General features: G+C 49.6%; 2 long non-coding RNA genes and 1 pseudogene across 2 annotated transcripts, besides 4 other annotated features; 1 reads left to right on the top strand and 2 right to left on the bottom strand.

Moving 5' to 3' along the window:
• Positions 10 to 304: an enhancer, noted in NCBI's record as "tiled region #7881; HepG2 Activating DNase unmatched - State 1:Tss, and K562 Activating DNase unmatched - State 1:Tss". NCBI's record gives its function as "activates a minimal TATA promoter and a strong SV40 promoter by Sharpr-MPRA in HepG2 and K562 cells {active_cell/tissue: HepG2 | K562}" and the evidence as "EXISTENCE:reporter gene assay evidence [ECO:0000049][PMID:27701403]".
• Positions 63 to 112: an enhancer, noted in NCBI's record as "active region_10711". NCBI's record gives its function as "activates an Ori minimal core promoter by ATAC-STARR-seq in GM12878 lymphoblastoid cells {active_cell/tissue: GM12878}" and the evidence as "EXISTENCE:reporter gene assay evidence [ECO:0000049][PMID:35858748]".
• On the top strand, positions 200 to 2,291 carry ZNF747-DT (ZNF747 divergent transcript). The gene is made up of 2 exons (NR_184306.1): positions 200 to 622; positions 1,571 to 2,291. It is a non-coding gene; the product is annotated as a ZNF747 divergent transcript (long non-coding RNA).
• Positions 2,146 to 3,401, bottom strand: RPL7L1P16 (RPL7L1 pseudogene 16; annotated as a pseudogene).
• Positions 6,042 to 6,687: an enhancer, noted in NCBI's record as "H3K27ac-H3K4me1 hESC enhancer chr16:30552221-30552866 (GRCh37/hg19 assembly coordinates)". NCBI's record gives its function as "activates a minimal SCP1, AML or CMV promoter by ChIP-STARR-seq in naive H9 embryonic stem cells {active_cell/tissue: H9 hESC(naive)}" and the evidence as "EXISTENCE:reporter gene assay evidence [ECO:0000049][PMID:30033119]".
• LOC124903677 (uncharacterized) lies at positions 6,254 to 13,405 on the bottom strand. The gene is made up of 2 exons (XR_007065050.1): positions 13,259 to 13,405; positions 6,254 to 6,917 (listed from the first exon to the last, which is right to left on the bottom strand). It is a non-coding gene; the product is annotated as an uncharacterized LOC124903677 (long non-coding RNA).
• Positions 6,650 to 6,944: a silencer, noted in NCBI's record as "tiled region #8694; K562 Repressive non-DNase unmatched - State 5:Enh". NCBI's record gives its function as "represses a minimal TATA promoter and a strong SV40 promoter by Sharpr-MPRA in K562 cells {active_cell/tissue: K562}" and the evidence as "EXISTENCE:reporter gene assay evidence [ECO:0000049][PMID:27701403]".
• Positions 13,406 to 17,431: the final 4,026 nt, after the last annotated feature.

Raw genomic sequence — 17,431 nt, forward strand, 5'->3', positions numbered from 1 at the left:
GGCGGCAGCGCGACCTCTCGACCTTTGCCCCTGCGCAATTGTACCCACGACGACGCCCCCCTCCCCGCGCCCCCGCTCCAGGCCCAGTTCTCTCCTTGCCCTAATCCAAAATGGCCGTTGCGGCTACAGGCGCCGGCCTTGAAAACCAGCCGCGCATGCTCCGGCCCCGCCAGGTGAGGCGGCGCAGCTCAGAGCTTCCGCCCGGGTTTGCGGGAACAAAGCAGCGCCCTGCGGAAGGCAGCCCTCGTGAACTCAGAAGTTAGTTTTCGTCTCTGGACCTTTTTATAATCGGACTTCAGCCCATCACTGTCTCGTTTTGTCCTCAGAAACGGCGACAGCAGCCTCTTCCCAATGTTGAGAGCAAAAAGTGTGAACCCAGAAATTCCGAGACAGATCTCAATTACTTGCCAAGGTTGAGGACGCGCGCGTGACAGCCTCAGGAAGTCCTCACGACATGTGCCCAAGGTGGTCTGGGCATAGCTTAGTTTTATACATTTTATGGAGACATGAGACATCAATAAATGTATGTAAGAAGTACATTGGTTCTGTTTGGAAAGGCGGGGCAACTTGAAGCAAAGGCAGGAAGACGTGAAGCAGGAAGGGGGCTTCCAAGAAACAGAAGGTGAGGCACAAACGGTTGCATTCTTTTGAGATTCTGATTAGCGTTTCCAAAGGAGGCAATCAGATATGCATCTGTGTCAGCCAGCAAAGGGGTGACTTTGAATAGACTGGGAGGCAGGTTGGCCCTAAGCAATTCCCAGCTTGACTTTTTCCTTTAGCGTAGTGATTTGGGGGGGTCCCAAGATTTATTTTCCTTTCACAAAAGCCATGGAGTGGATACAGGAGAACCTCCTCTATTGTAGGCTTTTTGGAGCTTGAAATTCTGGGAGCTTCTAGATGGCGGAAGCAGCGGGGAGAATAGGGTAAGGCTGAGAAAGTCAGAGGGCCCTCTCTTCTAGGAGCTTCTCCCATGTGCTGTGCAGGACGCCTCCCGACCGCCTGTCTCCCTCTAGCTGCAGCCAGGCTCTTGGCTTCCCTGACGTCCTGCCCCTGCGCGGATGGCCCAAGGCTCCTAGGCTCAAACCCAGCTCATCCCTTTCTTACCCCAACCTGCTTCCCCTGGGGTCTTTATCTCAGTAAAAGTCGCCAGCTCTCCCCTGAGACCTCCTTCTCACACTTCCTGATGGCCTACTCTGTGCTCCACGTGACTTCATACATGTCCTGTGTACTGGAGTCAGAGTCACCTCCAACGCGCCTTTTAGCTCTTAGTGGGTTCTTTAGTTGAATCTAGGCCCAGATTGAGAATCGCCTGTAATCCTGGCGCCTGGGAGGTCGGGGCAAGAGGATTCCTTGAGTCCAAGAGAATGAGATCAGCCTGCTCAACTTAGGAGACCCTATCTCAAAAATAAATAAGAAAAAATGAATCGACAGCAGACAGACTAACAGGAGGAAAGAATACAAATTGTACCTGTTTTACATGTACTCAGGCATCTTCACAAGAGAGAGCAGTCAGAAAAAGTGGCTGAAGCCAGGTGCTTTTATATTTCTTTTCTTTTTTTTTTTTTTGCAGAGACAAGTGAACATTTATTTTTATGTCTTTCTTCCTATGTGTATTTCAAGTCTTTTTCAAAACAAGGCCCCAGGACTCTCCAGATTCAATTATGTCCTTGGGCTTGGTCGACTGCTGCAGGAGTCTTAAGGAGCCTTGTGCAAATGCTAGAGTGACTCATTTACCAACATTAAACCCTAGGATAGATGCAACAGAGAAGTACTACTTCCTCCATGGAATGTGCTGATTTCAGGCGACGTGGCACCCAATGTAGAAAACGCTGGAATTTTTCCTTGGAACTGGACTGTGATGAGAGGTGCTTGCCATGAACATAAGCTACTGTCTTTTTTTTCTTTTTTTGAGACGGACTTTCACTTTTTTTGCCCAGGCTGGAGTGTAATGGCGCGATCTTGGCTCACCGCAACCTCCGCCTCCCAGGTTTGAGTGATTCTCCTACCTTAGCCTCCTGAGTAGCTGGGATTACAGGCGTGCGCCACCATTCCCAGCTAATTTTTGTATTTTTAGTAGACACAGTGTTTCTCCATGTTGGTCAGGCTGGTCTCAAACTCCTGACCTCAGGTGATACGCCCGCCTCAGCCTCCCAAAGTGTTGGGATTACTGGCGTGAGGCATCGTGCCCAGCAAGCTACTGTCTTTTCTTTGACCCTTTCCAGTTTTTGAAGATAAAGCAGGAAATAATCTTCTCTGAAAGTACTTGATAAAAATTCCCAAAACAACAAAAACACATGCTTCCACTTCATTGATAAAAATTTACTGCGGTTTGGCACCTGGGTCTAGTTCAGCTGGCAGATGAGCTGATTGATGCGTTAACCCCCACAGCCAGGTGTGCCCATCTCCTTGAGGAAGCCCACTCTATTTTTGGTAGCATGACGGGCCACTGAAAGGTGGAAAGGGCGCAAGAACCATGAGATCTCCTGGAAATGCTTCCCTGGGAAGGCAATTTCATGAATGAGGTCTTCCAAGCAAATGACGCCAAACTTCCCCAGGTCCTCCTCAATCACTGTGTTGTCTGTCAGAGGGATGGTCTTATTCTTTTTTTTTTTTTTTTTTTGAGACAGAGTTTCGCTCTGTCGCCCAGGCTAGAGCGCAGTGGTGCAATCTCGGCGCACTGCAAGCTCCACCTCCCAGGTTCACGCCATTCTCCTGCCTCAGCCGCCCAAGTAGCTGGGACTACAGGCGCCCACCACCGCGCCGGACTAATTTTTTGTATTTTTAGTAGAGACGGGGTTTCACTGTGTTAGCCAGGATGGTCTCGATCTCCTGACCTCATGATCCACCCATCTTTGGCCTCCCAAAGTGCTGGGATTACAGGCGTGAGCCACTGCGTCTGGCCGATGGTCTTATTCTTGACCTTGGCTTGTCCATGTTTCAAAATGAATTCCCAGACAGACTTCAGATTTGGAAATCCTCAGGTCACATAAGGTTCCACTATACGCAGCATTTTTAAAAAGACACCACTAAAAATTTTCTTCAGGCAAAGTCTTGCAATGGTTCTCTGCACCAGTAAACTCCCGCCATCAATCCTTTTGATGCGTACAACAAAGGCCAAGGAACATTTATCCGGCAATTCCAAGGCGTGAGGTTGCACTTCTAGTTGTCTTGAGATGCACCTTGTCACGTTTCTCCTGCCAGGAATCATGTAGGAATGATTCCAGTCACTTAAACCTGAGCCCTTTTCCTTTCCTCTGCTCCTTTGCCAAAAATGCCTGCTTTGCCTGGGTGGCTTTGAGGGCTTGATAAGCCTTCCTATTTTTCAGGAGATTTTCTGGAACCAAAGGAATTTTTCTGTGCTCTTGCTCTGCCATCTTTCTAGTGGTGCAGCTACTGATCATTATATTTCTTTCTTTTTTTATTTTGAGACGGAGTCTCACTTTGTCACCCAGGCTGGAGTGCAGTGGCGCGATCTCAGCTCACTGCAAGCTCTGTCTCCCGGGTTCACGCCATTCTCCTGCCTCAGCCTCCCGAGTAGCTGGGACTACAGACGCCCACCACCACGCCTGGCTAATTTTTCTGTATTTCTAGTAGAGACGGGGTTTCACCGTGTTAGCCAGGATGGTCTCAATCTCCTGACCTCGTGATCCGCTCATCTCTGCTTCCCAAAGTGCTGGGATTACAAGTGTGAGCCACCACGCCCGGCCTGTATTTCTTAAATAACCATAATTTTTTTTTTTTTTTTGAGATGGAGTTTTGCTCTTATTGCCCAGGCTGGCGTGCAATGGCGCAATCTCTGCTCACTGCAACCTCTGCCTCCCGGGTTCAAGCGATTCTTCTGCCTCAGCACCCCGGGTAGTTGGGACTACAGGCATGCACCACCACACCCGGCTAATTTTGGATTTTTAGTAGAGATAGGGTTTCACCATGTTGGTCAGGCTGGTCTTGAACTCCTGACCTCAGGTGATCCACCCACCTTGGCCTCCCAAAGTGCTGGGATTACAGGCGTGAGCCACTGCACCTGGCCAAGAACAATAAATTTTAAAAGAAATGACAGGACGAAGAAAATCTGGCTAGGGCAGTAAAATTTTCAAGGGGAGATCTGTGTGGGTTGGGGGGGCATCAAACAGGTGGAAGATATGGATTACTTTGTTAAGTGTGTTTATTCTGGTCCCTTGGGGCCTCTAAGGGCTATTTTCTCACCCTGGGGAGAGGAGGCAAAAAGTTTGGGAGGGGCATAAGGATTCATTGTTGCCCAGGGGGTGTGTTCCCAGCCCTAGGTCTCCCAGGCTCTCAGACCTCGGAAGGACACAAGAGAAAACTGAAAACTTCCCTTAAAAGCAATGACATTTTGTCTCTTGCAGTGCCCACCCCTCAGTGTGGTGCCCATTACCCACAGTCTGGAAGAGCTCTGGGAGATCCTAGAAGCTCCCTTGGGGGTCTGGACCCTCCTGGGAAAGAACCAGGGGCAGAGTTCACAATCCTGGAGGTCAGCCTCTGAGGTCCATGTCACCAGGCCAGTCGATCCACTGAAGGGCCCCTGGCTCAAGCATTGCCAGCAGTGGGGACAGGTGAAGGAACACAGGCCCGCTGGGCAACAGGAAGCAGGGGTGGGCCTCGTTGTGGGAGAAGTGGGTGCTATACCAGCTGCGGGCAAAGGGTCACTCCCCGGAGTACCTGAGGCCTGGCTGAAGGTACTGGCGAAGTGTGGCTGCACTGGGGACAGGAATGAGGTGCTGAGTGAGTGCCAGATGTTGAGGCCGGGCAGAGACTGCAGATTTGGGGAAGGTCTGGCTACAGGGAGCCTTGGCCAAAGGCTCAGAGACCAGGTCAGTGTTTCTGACACCAAGGGCTTATGACAGCTCCCAAATAGACTCCTGCTGGTCCCTTCCAAATGTGTCATTTTTCTGAGTGGCCATTGGGAAACTGCTGATTCATAACTTACCTCTGGCCCTGTCAACTCCTCAAGGCCTACTCATATTCAGGTGACAGAATCAACCTTCACAACAGCAGCATTCAGATGGGTACCCCTGGGAGCCACCCTCATCCCCCACCCCCAGACAGTGCTGGCCAACTGAGGAGCTCACCAGGCAGTGACATTCCCACACACCTCAAGGCCAACCAGAGGAGCCACCATCAACTACACAGGCAGCTGTTCCAGGGCCTGGGGGCCTGGAGACAGAAAGGTGAACTTTCTTCATCCTAAATTTGAATTCACACACTGCCACTGAATGGGCCGATTCATAGCACAGCCTGACTGTAGTCCCATGGGATGTCACCAGTCAAATTAAGTGCTGGGCGCGGTGCCTCACGCCTGTAATCCCAGCACTTTGGGAGGCCAAGGAGGGCAGATCACCTGAGATCAGGAGTTCAAGAGCAGCCTGACCAACATGGTGAAACCCCATCTCTACAAAAAATACAAAAATTAGCTGGGTGTGGTGGCACATGCCTGCAATCCCAGCTACTCCAGAGGCTGAGGAAGGAGAATGGTGCGAACCCGGAAGGCGGAGGTTGCAGTGAGCCGAGATCACACCACTGCACCCGAGCCTTGGTGACAGAGTGAGACTCTATCTTTAAAAAAAAAAAAAGGCCGGGCACAGTGGCTCACACCTGTAATCTCAGCACTTTGGGAGGCTGAGGCGGGCCGATCAACTGAGGTCGGGAGTTTGAGACCAGCCTGACCAACATGGAGAAACCCCATCTCTACTAAAAATACAAAATTAGCCAGTCGTGGTGGCGCATGCCTGTAATCCCAGCTACTCAGGAGGCTGAGGCAGGAGAATCACTTGAACCCGGGAGGCAGAGGTTGCGGTGAGCCAAGATCGCACCATTGCACTCTAGCCTCGGCAACAAGAGCAAAACGCCATCTCAAAAAAAAAAAAAAGAAAGAAAGAAAGAAAAGAAGCCCAGTCTCGGTCAGGTGTGGTGCCTCACACCTGTAACCCCAGCACTTTGTGAGCCTGACGGGGGCAGATCACTTGAGGTCAGGAGTTCATTACCAGCCTGGCCAACATGGTGAAACCCCGTCTCTACTAAAAAACAATTAAAAATTAGCCGGGTGTGGTGGCAGGTGCCTGTAATCCCAGCTACTCAGGAGGCTGAGGCAGGAGACTCACTTGAACCTGGGAGGTGGAGGCTGCAGTGAGCAGAGATCACACCACTGCCCTCTAGCCTGGGCAACAGAGCAAGACTCCGTCTCAAAAAAAAAATTGTAGCAGGACGAGCCGCAGACAAGAACCCCTCAGACACCAAGTTGTGAAAGGCAAGGGCTTTATTCAGCTGGGAGCATCGGCGGATTCATGTCTCCAAAAACCGAGCTCCCCGAGTGAGCAATTCCTGTCCTTTTTAAGGGCTCACATCTCTGAGGGGGTAATGATTGATTGAACAAACAGTGGGTACGTGACTGGGGGCTGCATGCACAGGTAATCAGAACGGAACAGAACAGGACTGGGATTTTCACAATGCTTTTCTATACAATGTCTGGCAATCTATAGATAACACAAGCAGTTAGGTCAGGGGTTGATTTTTAACCAGGGTGCAGTGCTGGGCTATCTGCCTGTGGATTCCATTTCTGCCTTTTAGTTTTTACTTCTTCTTTCTTTGGAGGCAGAAATTGGGCATAAGACAATATGAGGGGTGGTCTCCTCCCTTAAAGTGAGAAAGAGAAGGTCAAGATGCCAGGCTCCAGGGAATGTCATAAATTCAGGTCAGCAAAAATGAGTCACACCAGGAGTAAGGAACATATAAATAGCATTCCTTCCTCAACAAAATATCCTCTTCCAGCTGGGACGGAGACGTCATCCCCTCTTCTCCCCTTTCTGCCTTTCTCTTAGGCTTCCTCCTTCCTGGGGATCCTGGGCATTTTGACTCACAGCTGGGCCTCCTCCTACTCCCAGGAGATGAGGGTGTAAGGTCAGCTGAGAGAAAGGAAAAATAGACCTAAAGTTAGGCAGGCAACTTTTTATTAATCTGCCAGCTGCTCCCCTAATAGAGAGGAAGCAGCCCCAAGCTTACAGAATGAGGGGTTTATATTGGGGAGGGGAGTTTGAGGGAGTTCTTTGGTATGGCCGCATCTCGGGGTTGTTTGCTGGTTAATTTTTCTACATATTACCTTGTGACGTTTATTACAGGAGGGTGTAGGTAAAGTTTGTTTATGTTTCCCACAACCTCCCCCTGTGCGGTGTGGATGATTTGTACCTGGGGTTTGCTTATTGCAGCAAGGTCTGATAAGTGAAGTCTGCTGGCTTCACCGCGGCACCTAGATAAGGGCTTAGAAATGTAAAGAGGCTTGGGGGAAGGGTGGGCAGCACCAAGAAGCTTTCTTGGGCAGTTTGTCCCTAACATTCCAGCCCTTTAATAGGTAATAGAAGAGGGGTGCCATTGTCTGGCTGCTTCTTGCTGGGAAGGGGCGACGGTTGTGGGGGAAGGCTGGACAGTAGGGACTACAGTTTTTGGAGCCATTGGTATTCCTGGAGCAGCATTATATCTTGTATTGTCGCATAGGTGAAGGCTCTGATACGGTCCTGTAAAAACTGGGTGAGATGGTGTAGGAGACAAGGGCCGAATGCTAGGAAAAGAAAAATGGTTATGGCCGGGCCTAGAAGGGGCATTAGCTATGGAAACTAGGTATTAAAAGACCAGGAGGGCCACGCTGGCCATCAAGGGATGTTTTCTTTAATTTTTTGTGCTCGGTCCTTTAGTCTTTTTACAGCATGTTGTACTAAGCCAGACTGGTTAAGATAAAAGCAACACTTTTCATCTAGAAAAAGGCAGAGTCCTCCTTTTTCGGCTGTGAGTAGGTCTAAGTCTCTGTGGTTTTGAAGAACCATTGCTGCTAAATAATTTATTTGTGATTGGAGAGTTGTAATGGATTTGGCTATTTTTTCCAAGCTATTTGTGAGGTCTTTGGAGAGGGATTGGTAATAGGAAACGGAGGTGGTTAATCCCGCAATCCCAGTTCCAACTCCTGTAGTTATTCCGAGGTCTACTAATAGAGGTATGAGTTGTATAGCACGGCGGTGTCAGATAGGGGTATTAACGGGGATTGGTAGGGGTTGGTCTCCTGGGGCAACGTTGATTTTTGGACTGAGGAAAACCAGGGTGTGCAGGCGCCCATCCAGTTAGAGGGGAGGCAAATATAAGTTGAGGTACTGCATAGGAAAAGTATGCCTTGGTTTGTTAGAGAGAACTGGTGTGTATGCTAAAAAGATATACATTTTGTTATTTTCATGCATTTATACTTCTGGGGTCCCGGCTAGGGCTGCTGCTGTAAGTGGTTGTAAAGGGGTGTTTGGTTTAGGCTGGGAGGCTTTTGGGTTCTTTTTTTTGCCAGTGTAAGAGGAAGCGTTTTGTTTCCACTAAGATGCATGTGGGAGTGTTGTTGAATGTTGGGAGAAGGAGACAGTCCCGGGTGGTGGGTGTAGGGTAAGGATGGTGCATGGAGAGGGGAGTCAAGGGAAGAGGGATAAACAGGGGAGGTGTTGGCCATTACAGTACCCTTAATTTTTGTTAAGGAGGTGGAGGCTAGAGAAATAAAGCCTGTCTTTTTTGTTGGCGGCTTTGAGAGTAGTATGTTCGGTGGGAGGTTTGAGTTGTAGGGTAAAGTTGCAGTTTGGAATTCAGGTGGCTGAGGGGAATGCCAGAGGGTAGATGTCATTGGATGCACAGCAGTGCTGGATAGGATAAGATTTTGTGGGTTGTTATGGCTCCTAATACGGGTTTATCACAGCTGTGGTAGGGGGATAGGTTGCGTAAATAGGGATGTAAGGTTGTAACAGCTGGACCCAACTCATTAGCTAACTGAGGGGAGATTTCTGTTAATGCCTGCATGTCGAGTTCGAGGGGGCTGTTAATGAGGATTTCGGGATGGTAGGTTACTTGGGTGGAAGTCCAGTTACAGGCTGAGGCAGGGATTGCATTGTATATTGTGGAGAGGAGGGATAGAGGAGGTTCCTGGAGGTAGGGGTTTAGCTTCAATTACTCGGCCAAGGAAAACAACTGCATACCCAGCAATTTTGGGGGAGCCAGTGGGTACGGAAGAGGAGCTATCTATAAATAGCTGGTCATTGGGGTTGGTGAGAGGCTGGGAGGAAATGTTTAGAAAGTGTGGCTGCAGGTGATCTAGGATGTTAGTATAAGAATGAGTAGAAGGGGAAGAAGATACAGGGAGTAAGGATGCTGGGTTGAGGGGAGCACTTTTGAAAAGACTGAATTTGGGATTTTCGATAAAGAAGGCATGGAGTAAGCCGGGCGCGGTGGTTGACGCCTGTAATCCTAGCACTTTGGGAGGCTGAGGCGGGTGGATCACCTGAGGTCAAGAGTTCGGGACCAGCCTGGCCAACATGGTGAAACCCCCTCTCTACTAAAAATACAAAAATTAGCCAGGCGTGGTGGCACACGCCTGTAATCCCAGCTATGCAAGACACTGAGGCAAGAGCGAAACTCCATCTCAAAAAAAAAAAAAAAAAAGGCATGGAGTGATTGAATCCATGAAGGAGAAAGGGAGCCTAATGCTCAGGAGGAGAGGAGATCTTGTAGATTATGAGGACTGCAGACGGTGGTATTCTGGCTGAAAGTTAGTTTCCTGCTTTTTAGAGCTAAAATGGCCACCACTGCTAGTGCTTTAAGGCAGGTTGGCCACCCTTTGACTGTGTCATCTAGTTGTTTAGAGAGGTAAGTTACAGGGGCAAAAGAAGGAGGATTTTTTTCCTGTTGTCCTAAGACATCGAGGGTTATTCCTCAGTTTTTGGAAGTATGGAGAGTGAAAGGTTGGGAGATAATAGGTAAGGACAGAGTTGGTGCAGTGACGAGCGGTTTTGAGTTTGTAGAAGCTGGGGAGTATGTTATGTGAGGGTTTTAGGGGTTCATCGAGAGGGTGTTTGGCCGCTTTATAGAGGGGGCAAGCTAGGAGGGTAAAGTTGAGAATCCATATTCTAAAGAAGCCTGCTAACCCTGGGAAGGAAAGGATTTCTCGTTTGGAAGAGCGCGGGGGGTAGATTATTAATGCTGCTCAGGCTGGGGTCACAGTCCAGGCCCCAGGGGAAGTTGAATTTCTAAGTAGGTTACCATGGAGGTGGAGAATAGTGTGGAGTTTTGAAAAGGGTATCTCTGCCCAGGAGCGGAGTTGGACATGAGGGCAGGACTAAGGAAGAGTGAGTGAAGGAAAAACTGTGCAGGGAGCAGAAGAGTGGAGGGGTGGCTCGGGGTTTGGTGACTTGTCCATCAATTCCTACAACAGAGACCTGGGAGGACTGGGTGGGTCCTGAAAAATTAGGTAAAGCAGAGTAGTTTGTCCCGGTATTAATTTAAAAAATATATATACTGGCCCATTTGCCACCATTAGGGTTATTTTGGCTTGAATGAAGAGATGGTAGTTGCTGGGGGCGTTCATTCCAGGGCACCGTCAAGTCTTCAGTGGCAAGGCCGATGAAATCCGAGTAGGAGGTTTTGGCTGGCTCAGGAGGGGATGGGGGCAGTCCTTGCTGGGGCCACTCACAGTCTGACTTCCAGTGGGGTCCTCCACAGAGGGGGCATGGCCTGGTGGGCTTTCCTGGGTTTGGGCATTGTCTGGACCAGTGGCCTTTATTGCCACACTTGGAACAGGTGCCAGGTGGAAGTGAATTGTTAGGAGGCTTCCATGTGGAGCTGCGGTCCCGTGGGCCTGCAGGGCCTCTAATGGCAAAGGCAAGCATTTGAAACTTTGCCTGTTTTTGCCTTTTATTTTCCTCATTATGATTGTTAAAGATTTTGAAGGCTAAATTAAGAAGGTCTCATTGTGGGGTTTGAGGGCCATTGTCAAGCTTCTGAAACTTGCATCAAATATTGGGAGTGGATTGGGAGATGAACTGAAGGTTTAAAATATTGGGAGACAAACTGAAGGTTTAAAATAGTGTTTCTTTTTGGGCTGGCTGGGTCTGGGTTGGTATATTTTCTCATGGCTTCAGTTAAATCAGAGAGAAAAAGGGCTGGGTTTTCGTTAGGAACCTTGGGTGATTTCTGAAAGTTTTTTATAGTTTACCGCTTTATAGGCAAACTTTTGGAGTCCTGTAAAGAGACATACAATCATGTGGTCTCAATGGTGGCGTCCAGAGGCCCCGTCTTGATAATCCTAGGGTGGTCCTGGTTGGGGACTGCCTTTGCACCAGTAGGCTGGGCAGGAGCCTGGTGATGAATGGTATCAGCATGTGCCTGATCTAGGGTCCAGTTATGGTCTCGGTCTTCTGGGGTGAGGGTAGAAGAGAGGATGATGTAGGGGTTATGCTAGGTTAGTTCATAAGACTGGGTAAGGTACTGAAACTTCCTAATATAAGAGGTAGGGTCTTCTGGAAATGAACCAAGTCTTTTGTTAATTACAGAGAGATCAGTGAGGGAGAAGGGAACATAAACTCTAACAATACTTTCAGCTCCTGCTGCTTCCTGAAGGGGAAGTAAGGGAGCTGGTTGCTGAACATGTTGGGCCCAAGAGCGGGTGAGGGGTGGAGACGGAGAGGAACCAGAGTCAGAAGCGGGGTGGTTTGAGAGACGGGGAGAAGGGTAGAGCTGGAACGGGGACATACAGTGGAGGATTAGGATGCTCCTGTGGAGGATCGTGATGCTGTCGGGGAGGGGGAAAATTGGCAGAGTCAAAGGAAGAGGAATCGTCCTAAGCTGGGGCTGTGGGGAGGAGGATAGGAGGCGAGTCAGATTTGGAGCGGACAAGGAGGATTTAGAAAGTAGAACAAGACTGACAGAGGGAATGGCAGTTACAGAGAGTGAAGATGTAGCAGGACAACCTGCAGACAAAACCCTTCAGACACCGAGTTAAAGAAGGAAGGGCTTTATTCGGCCAGGTGCTTCAGCAAGACTCACTTCTCCAACAACCAAGCTCCCCGAGTGAGCAATTCCTATCCCTTTTAAGGGCTCACAACTCTAAGGGGGTCCACGTGAGAGGGTTGTGATCTATTGAGCAAGCACGGGGCACATGACTGGGGGCTGCATGCACCGGTAATTAGATCGGAACAGAACAGGACAGGGATTTTCTTTTTTTTTGAGACAGAGTCTCGCTGTGTCACCCAGGCTGGAGTGCAGTGGCGCGATCTCTGCTCACTGCAAGCTCCGTCTCCCAGGCTCACACCATTCTCCTGCCTCAGCCTCCCAAGTAGCTGGGACTACAGGCGCCCGCCATCACGCCCGGCTAATTTTTTGTACATTTAGTAGAGACGGGGTTTCACCATGTTAGCCAGGATGGTCTCAATCTCCTGCCCTTGTGATCCACCCGCCTCGGCCTCCCAAAGTGCTGGGATTACAGGCGTGAGCCACCGCGCCCAGCCCAGGACAGGGATTTTCACAGTGCTTTTCTATACAATGTCTGTAATCTATAGATAAGATAACCGATTAGGTCAGGGGTCGATCTTTAACTACCGGGCCCAGTGTGTGGCACTGGGCTGTCTGCTTGTGGATTTCATTTCTGCCTTTTACTTCTTCTTTCTTTGGAGGCAGAAATTGGGCATAAAACAATATGAGGGGTGGTCTCCTCCCTTAAAGAAAACCTGAACATAAGGAATCTCAGACCATTTCCCACTGTGATGGCAAAAGTTGTAAAGTGCTATTTTTGGGCCATTGGGAGCCACTGTCCAGTTGGTATTGAGGCCATGTGGTATTGCAGTAAAAGATAAGCCTCTTAGAACAGACCTCTGGGCCGGGTGTGGTGGCTCACGCCTGTAATCTCAGCACTTTGGGAGGCCGAGGCGGGCGGATCATGAGGTCAGGAGATCGAGACCATCCTGGCTAACACGGTAAAACCCCGTCTCTACTAAAAATACAAAAAATTAGCCGAGCGTGGTGGCGGGCACCTGTAGTCCCAGCTACTCGGGAGGCTGAGGCAGGAGAATGGCGTGAACCCAGGAGGCGGAGCTTGCAGTGAGCCGAGATCATGCCACTACACTCCAGCATGGGCAACAGAGCGAGACTCCGTCTCAAAAAAAAAAAAAAAGAACGGACCTCTGAATGGAGCCCGAGAGCATTGAGATTGCGGAATGGAGGAGGTAGGGGTAGAGGAAGAAGAGACTGCTGCTGACAAGGACGGTGGGAGAGGGCGTCCCCTTTCTTGCGGAACTTGTCCGGAATAGAGGAGGTAACTGCCGTGTCAGGCATCCCTAAAATGGAGGAACCAGAGGCCCACAGGCCGGAGGAAGCCCTTGGCCCAGCGCTGGGTCTTTCAGAAATGGAGAGATGGATGGTCAAGGGTTCTGAGGAACGGCAACAGTCTCTTTTTACTCACCCTGGTGGAGGTGGTGGATGAAGTCGTCAGCAATGGGAGAGTCTAGGAGATTCTCTGGGTCTTTGGCAGGTTCAGGGAAGGGGAGATTGGCTGGAAGAGGGGTGATAGGGTAGGGAGTAGGGAGGGAGACAGACAGAGAGAGTGAGTGAGTGAGTGAGTCCTGGCCAGAGGCTATCCCCTTCCCGGGTTTTGGCACCAGAATGTAAGGTCAGCCAAGAGAAAGGAAAAACAGACCCAAAGTTAGGCAGGTAACTTTTTATTAACCTGCTGGCTGCTCCCTTAACAGTCAGAGAGGAAGTAGCCCCAAGCTTACAGAATGAGGGGTTTATATTGGGGAGGGGAGTTTGATGGAGTTCTTTCGTATGGCCGCATCCTGGGGTTGTTTGCTGGTTAATTTTGCTACATATTACCTTGTGACGTTTATTACAGGAGGGTGTAGGTAAAGTTTGTTTATGTTTCCCATGACCTCCCCCTGTGCAGTGTGGGTGGTTTGTAATTGGGGTTTGCTTATTGCAGCAAGGTCTGATAAGCAAAGTCTGCTGGCTTCACCGTGGTGCCTAGGTAAGGGCTTAGAAATGTAAAGAGGCTTGGGGGATGGGTGGACAGCACCAAGAAGGTTTCTTGGGCAGTTTGTCCCTAACAGAGGGCTGGTTTGGAGTCAGGGAATCCTGGGGAAGAACACTGACCACTCAGGAAACATATCAAAAAACAGACACATATCCTAAGTCTACATTCATTTCATAAAAATGTATTGGCCCCCTCTTGTGTGCCAAGCATTATTCTTGGGTGGCGAAGACATTGGTGAGGCAAGATAAAGTCCCTGCACTAAGTTTACACTAAGCTGGGGGAGAGAGATACCAGGTATGAATTCAGCTGACACGAGTTTGGGGAAGACCTTCTAGGCAGATTGTGTCCAGGATAAAAACACAGAGGCACAGTTCTGAGGCTTCTAGCATGGGACAGACAGACTCCTGGAGGAATTTCTTAGAGATAGCATTGAAGGTCATTGACAGAGGAATTTGATTTGCAAGTGTAGCCTATATAGAACAGAGTAGCTAGAACAAAGGCTCATTAAGATAGAGGCATGGGCTCTATTAGCTGGGCGTGGTGGCAAGTGCGTGTGGTCCCAGGTACTTGGGAGGCTGAGGTGGGAGGATCACTTGAGTCCAGGAGGTTGAGGCTGCAGTGGGCCCAGATCACGCCACTACACTCCAGCCTGGGCGACAGAGCGAGACCCTGTCTCAAAAAAGTGTTCATAGCCAGTACCCCCATGACCTTCCAGGCCCATGGCAAACCAACCTTCTCAAAGTCAAACCCCCATCTTTCCCTACAGGCAAACGATCCCACTTAGCTCCAGCTAAATGGATGGAATCTTTGTTCTCTGAACGTGCCTGTTTTTTTCTGGAGACAGAGTCAGTCTTCTTCTGTCACTCAGCAAAGTGCTGAGATTACAGGCATGAGTCACTGCCTGGCCTGACATGCCTTTATCTCTCTCTCTTTTTTTTTTTTTTGAGATGGAGTCTCACTCTGTCGACCAGGCTGGAGTGCAGTGGCGTGATCTCGGCTCACTGCAACCTCCGCCTCCTGGGTTCAAGTGATTCTCCTGCCTCAGCCTCCTGAGTAGCTGAGACTACAGGCGCCTGCAATCACACCCAGCTAATTTTTGTGTTTTTAGTAGAAATGGGGTTTCACCATGTTGGCCAGGCTGGTCTTGATCTCTTGACCTCGTGATCCACCCACCTCGGCCTCCCAAAGTGCTGAGATTACATGTGTGAGCCACCGCGCCTAGCTAATTGTTGTAGAGATGGGTTTTCGCCATGTTGCCCAGACTGGTCTTAAACTTCTGGGGCTCAAGTGATCTGCTCCCATTGGGCTCCCAAAGTGCTGGGATTATAGGCATGAGCCACTGCGCCTGGCAACCTACATTTTTAAAAGACACTCAGCCAGGCACAGTGGTTCACACCTGTAATCCCAGCACTTTGGGAGGCTGAGATGGGAGGATCACTCAAGGTCAGGAGTTTGAGACCAGCCTGGGCTCCTGAGACAGGTTCCAAAAATAAAAACCCATAACAACAAAAGAAAGACCAGCCTGGGTGACAGAGTGAGAACTTTTCTCTAAAAAATTTTTTTTTTTTAATTAGCCAGGTATAATGGTGCACACTTGTAGTCCCAGCTATGCAGGACTGAGGCGGGAGGATGGCTTGAGCCCAGGAATTCAAGGCTGCAGTGAGCTAAGATCACACCACTGCATTCTAACCTGGGTGACACAGACAGACCGTCTCAAAATAATAATAATGATAATAATAATAAAAGATAACCTCGTGATTCTGCATCAGGGAGGCCTTATTTGAAAATACTAGCCTAGTATTAACTTCTTTGGGTCATATACATCTTTGCATGCCTACATGCCTATTCCTAGAGACACACACATACACAAACATTCCAAGGAGTTTTAGGGGTCTTGGAGCTCAGATCAACACCTAGCCTTATTTTATTATTATTATTTTTTGAGACGGAGTTTCACTCTTTTTTTTTTTTTTTTTTTTTGAGACAGAGTCTCGCTTTGTCATCCAGGCTGGAGTGTGCAGTGGTGCAATCTCAGCTCACTGCAACCTCCGCCTCCTGGGTTCACGCCATTCTCCTGCCTCAGCCTCCTGAGTAGCTGGGACTACAGGCGCCCACCACCTTGCCCGGCTAATTTTTTTTGTATTTTTAGTAGAGACAGGGTTTCACCATGTTAGCCAGGATGGTCTCAATCTCCTGACCTCATGATCCGCCCGCCTCAGCCTGCCAACGTGCTGGGATTACAGGTGTGAGCCACCGCGCCTGGCCCGAGACGGAGTTTCACTCTGGTCACCCAGGCTACAGTGCAATGGCGCAATCTTGGCTCACTGTAACCTCCACCTCCCTGGTTCAAGCAATTCTCATGCCTCAGCCTCCTGAGTAGCTGGGATTATAGGCACCCGCCACCACACCCGGCTAACTTTTGTATTTTCAATAGAGACGGGATTTCACCATGTTGGCTAGGCTGGTCTTGAACTACTGACCTCAGGTGATCTGCCCACCTCGGCCTCCCAAAGTGCTGGGATTACAGGCGTGAGCCACTGCACCCGGTCTCCCACCCTTAAATGGCCTGGACAGACGAGGGATGGGCATGTGGCCATGGCCTTTACTTCTCACTCTGGCTGGCCACTTGGATGTGGCTTATTCTGTTGATGCAGACAAGCATATCCTCAATGCACAGTGAAGCCTGGGAAAGCCCCTTCCTGACTTCAATTGCTTCTGGGGCTGACCCTCAAAGACCTGTGGTAGCAGAGAGAAAAGGAGGCCCTACCTCTGGTGGAAATATCTGTGCCAAGAAACAAGGAGCTGGCTGGGCACAGTGGCTTACGCCTGTAATCCCAGCACTTTGGAAGGCTGAGGCTCAGGGCGGATCACCTGAGTTCAGGAAATGGAGACCAGCCTGACCAACATGGTGAAACCCCATCTCTACTAAAAATACAAAAAATAGCCAGGCGTGGTGGCGCATGCCTGTAATCCCAGTTACTCGGGAGGCTGAGGCAGGAGAATTGCTTGAACCCGGGAGGCGGAGGATGCAGTGAGCCGAGATTGTGCCATTGCACTCCAGCCTGGGCAACAATAGCGAAACTCCGTCTCAAAAAAAAAAAAAAAAAAGAAAAAAGAAAAAAGAAATGAGGAGCTGAGAATGGGGTGGGGCTGAGGCTGAAGGGTTTCATGACACTAAAAAAAATTGATGAGATGCTGGAAAGTTGGGTCATGAGGGCAGGAAGCAGAGGAGTCAGGTCTGGTTTCTAGGCCCTAAATAAGCTTTACAAACTTCAAAGCACTCAGAGATCTCTAGATAATAATCATAGCACCTTTAAGTGGCAAGCTGAGGGCCAAGATCTGGCTGTCAGTCTGGGCTGAGAACTGGTGTTGCAAGCTGGGCCTCCCGGAGGCTGTGCTGAGGGTTAGGGGAGGGAACTAGGTTGTACACTAGGAATTAAAACCTGGTACAAAAGCCGGGTGCAGTGGCTTACGCCTGTAATGCCAGCACTTTGGAAGGCTGAGGCGGGCGGATCATGTGAGGTCAGGAAATGGAGACCAGCCTGACCAACATGGTGAAACCCCATCTCTACTAAAAATACAAAAAATAGCCAGGTGCAGTGGCTC

The sequence above is a fragment of the Homo sapiens genome, chromosome 16 (genome assembly GCF_000001405.40).
Source record: "Homo sapiens chromosome 16, GRCh38.p14 Primary Assembly".
In the NCBI taxonomy this organism is placed as follows: Eukaryota; Metazoa; Chordata; class Mammalia; order Primates; family Hominidae; genus Homo; species Homo sapiens.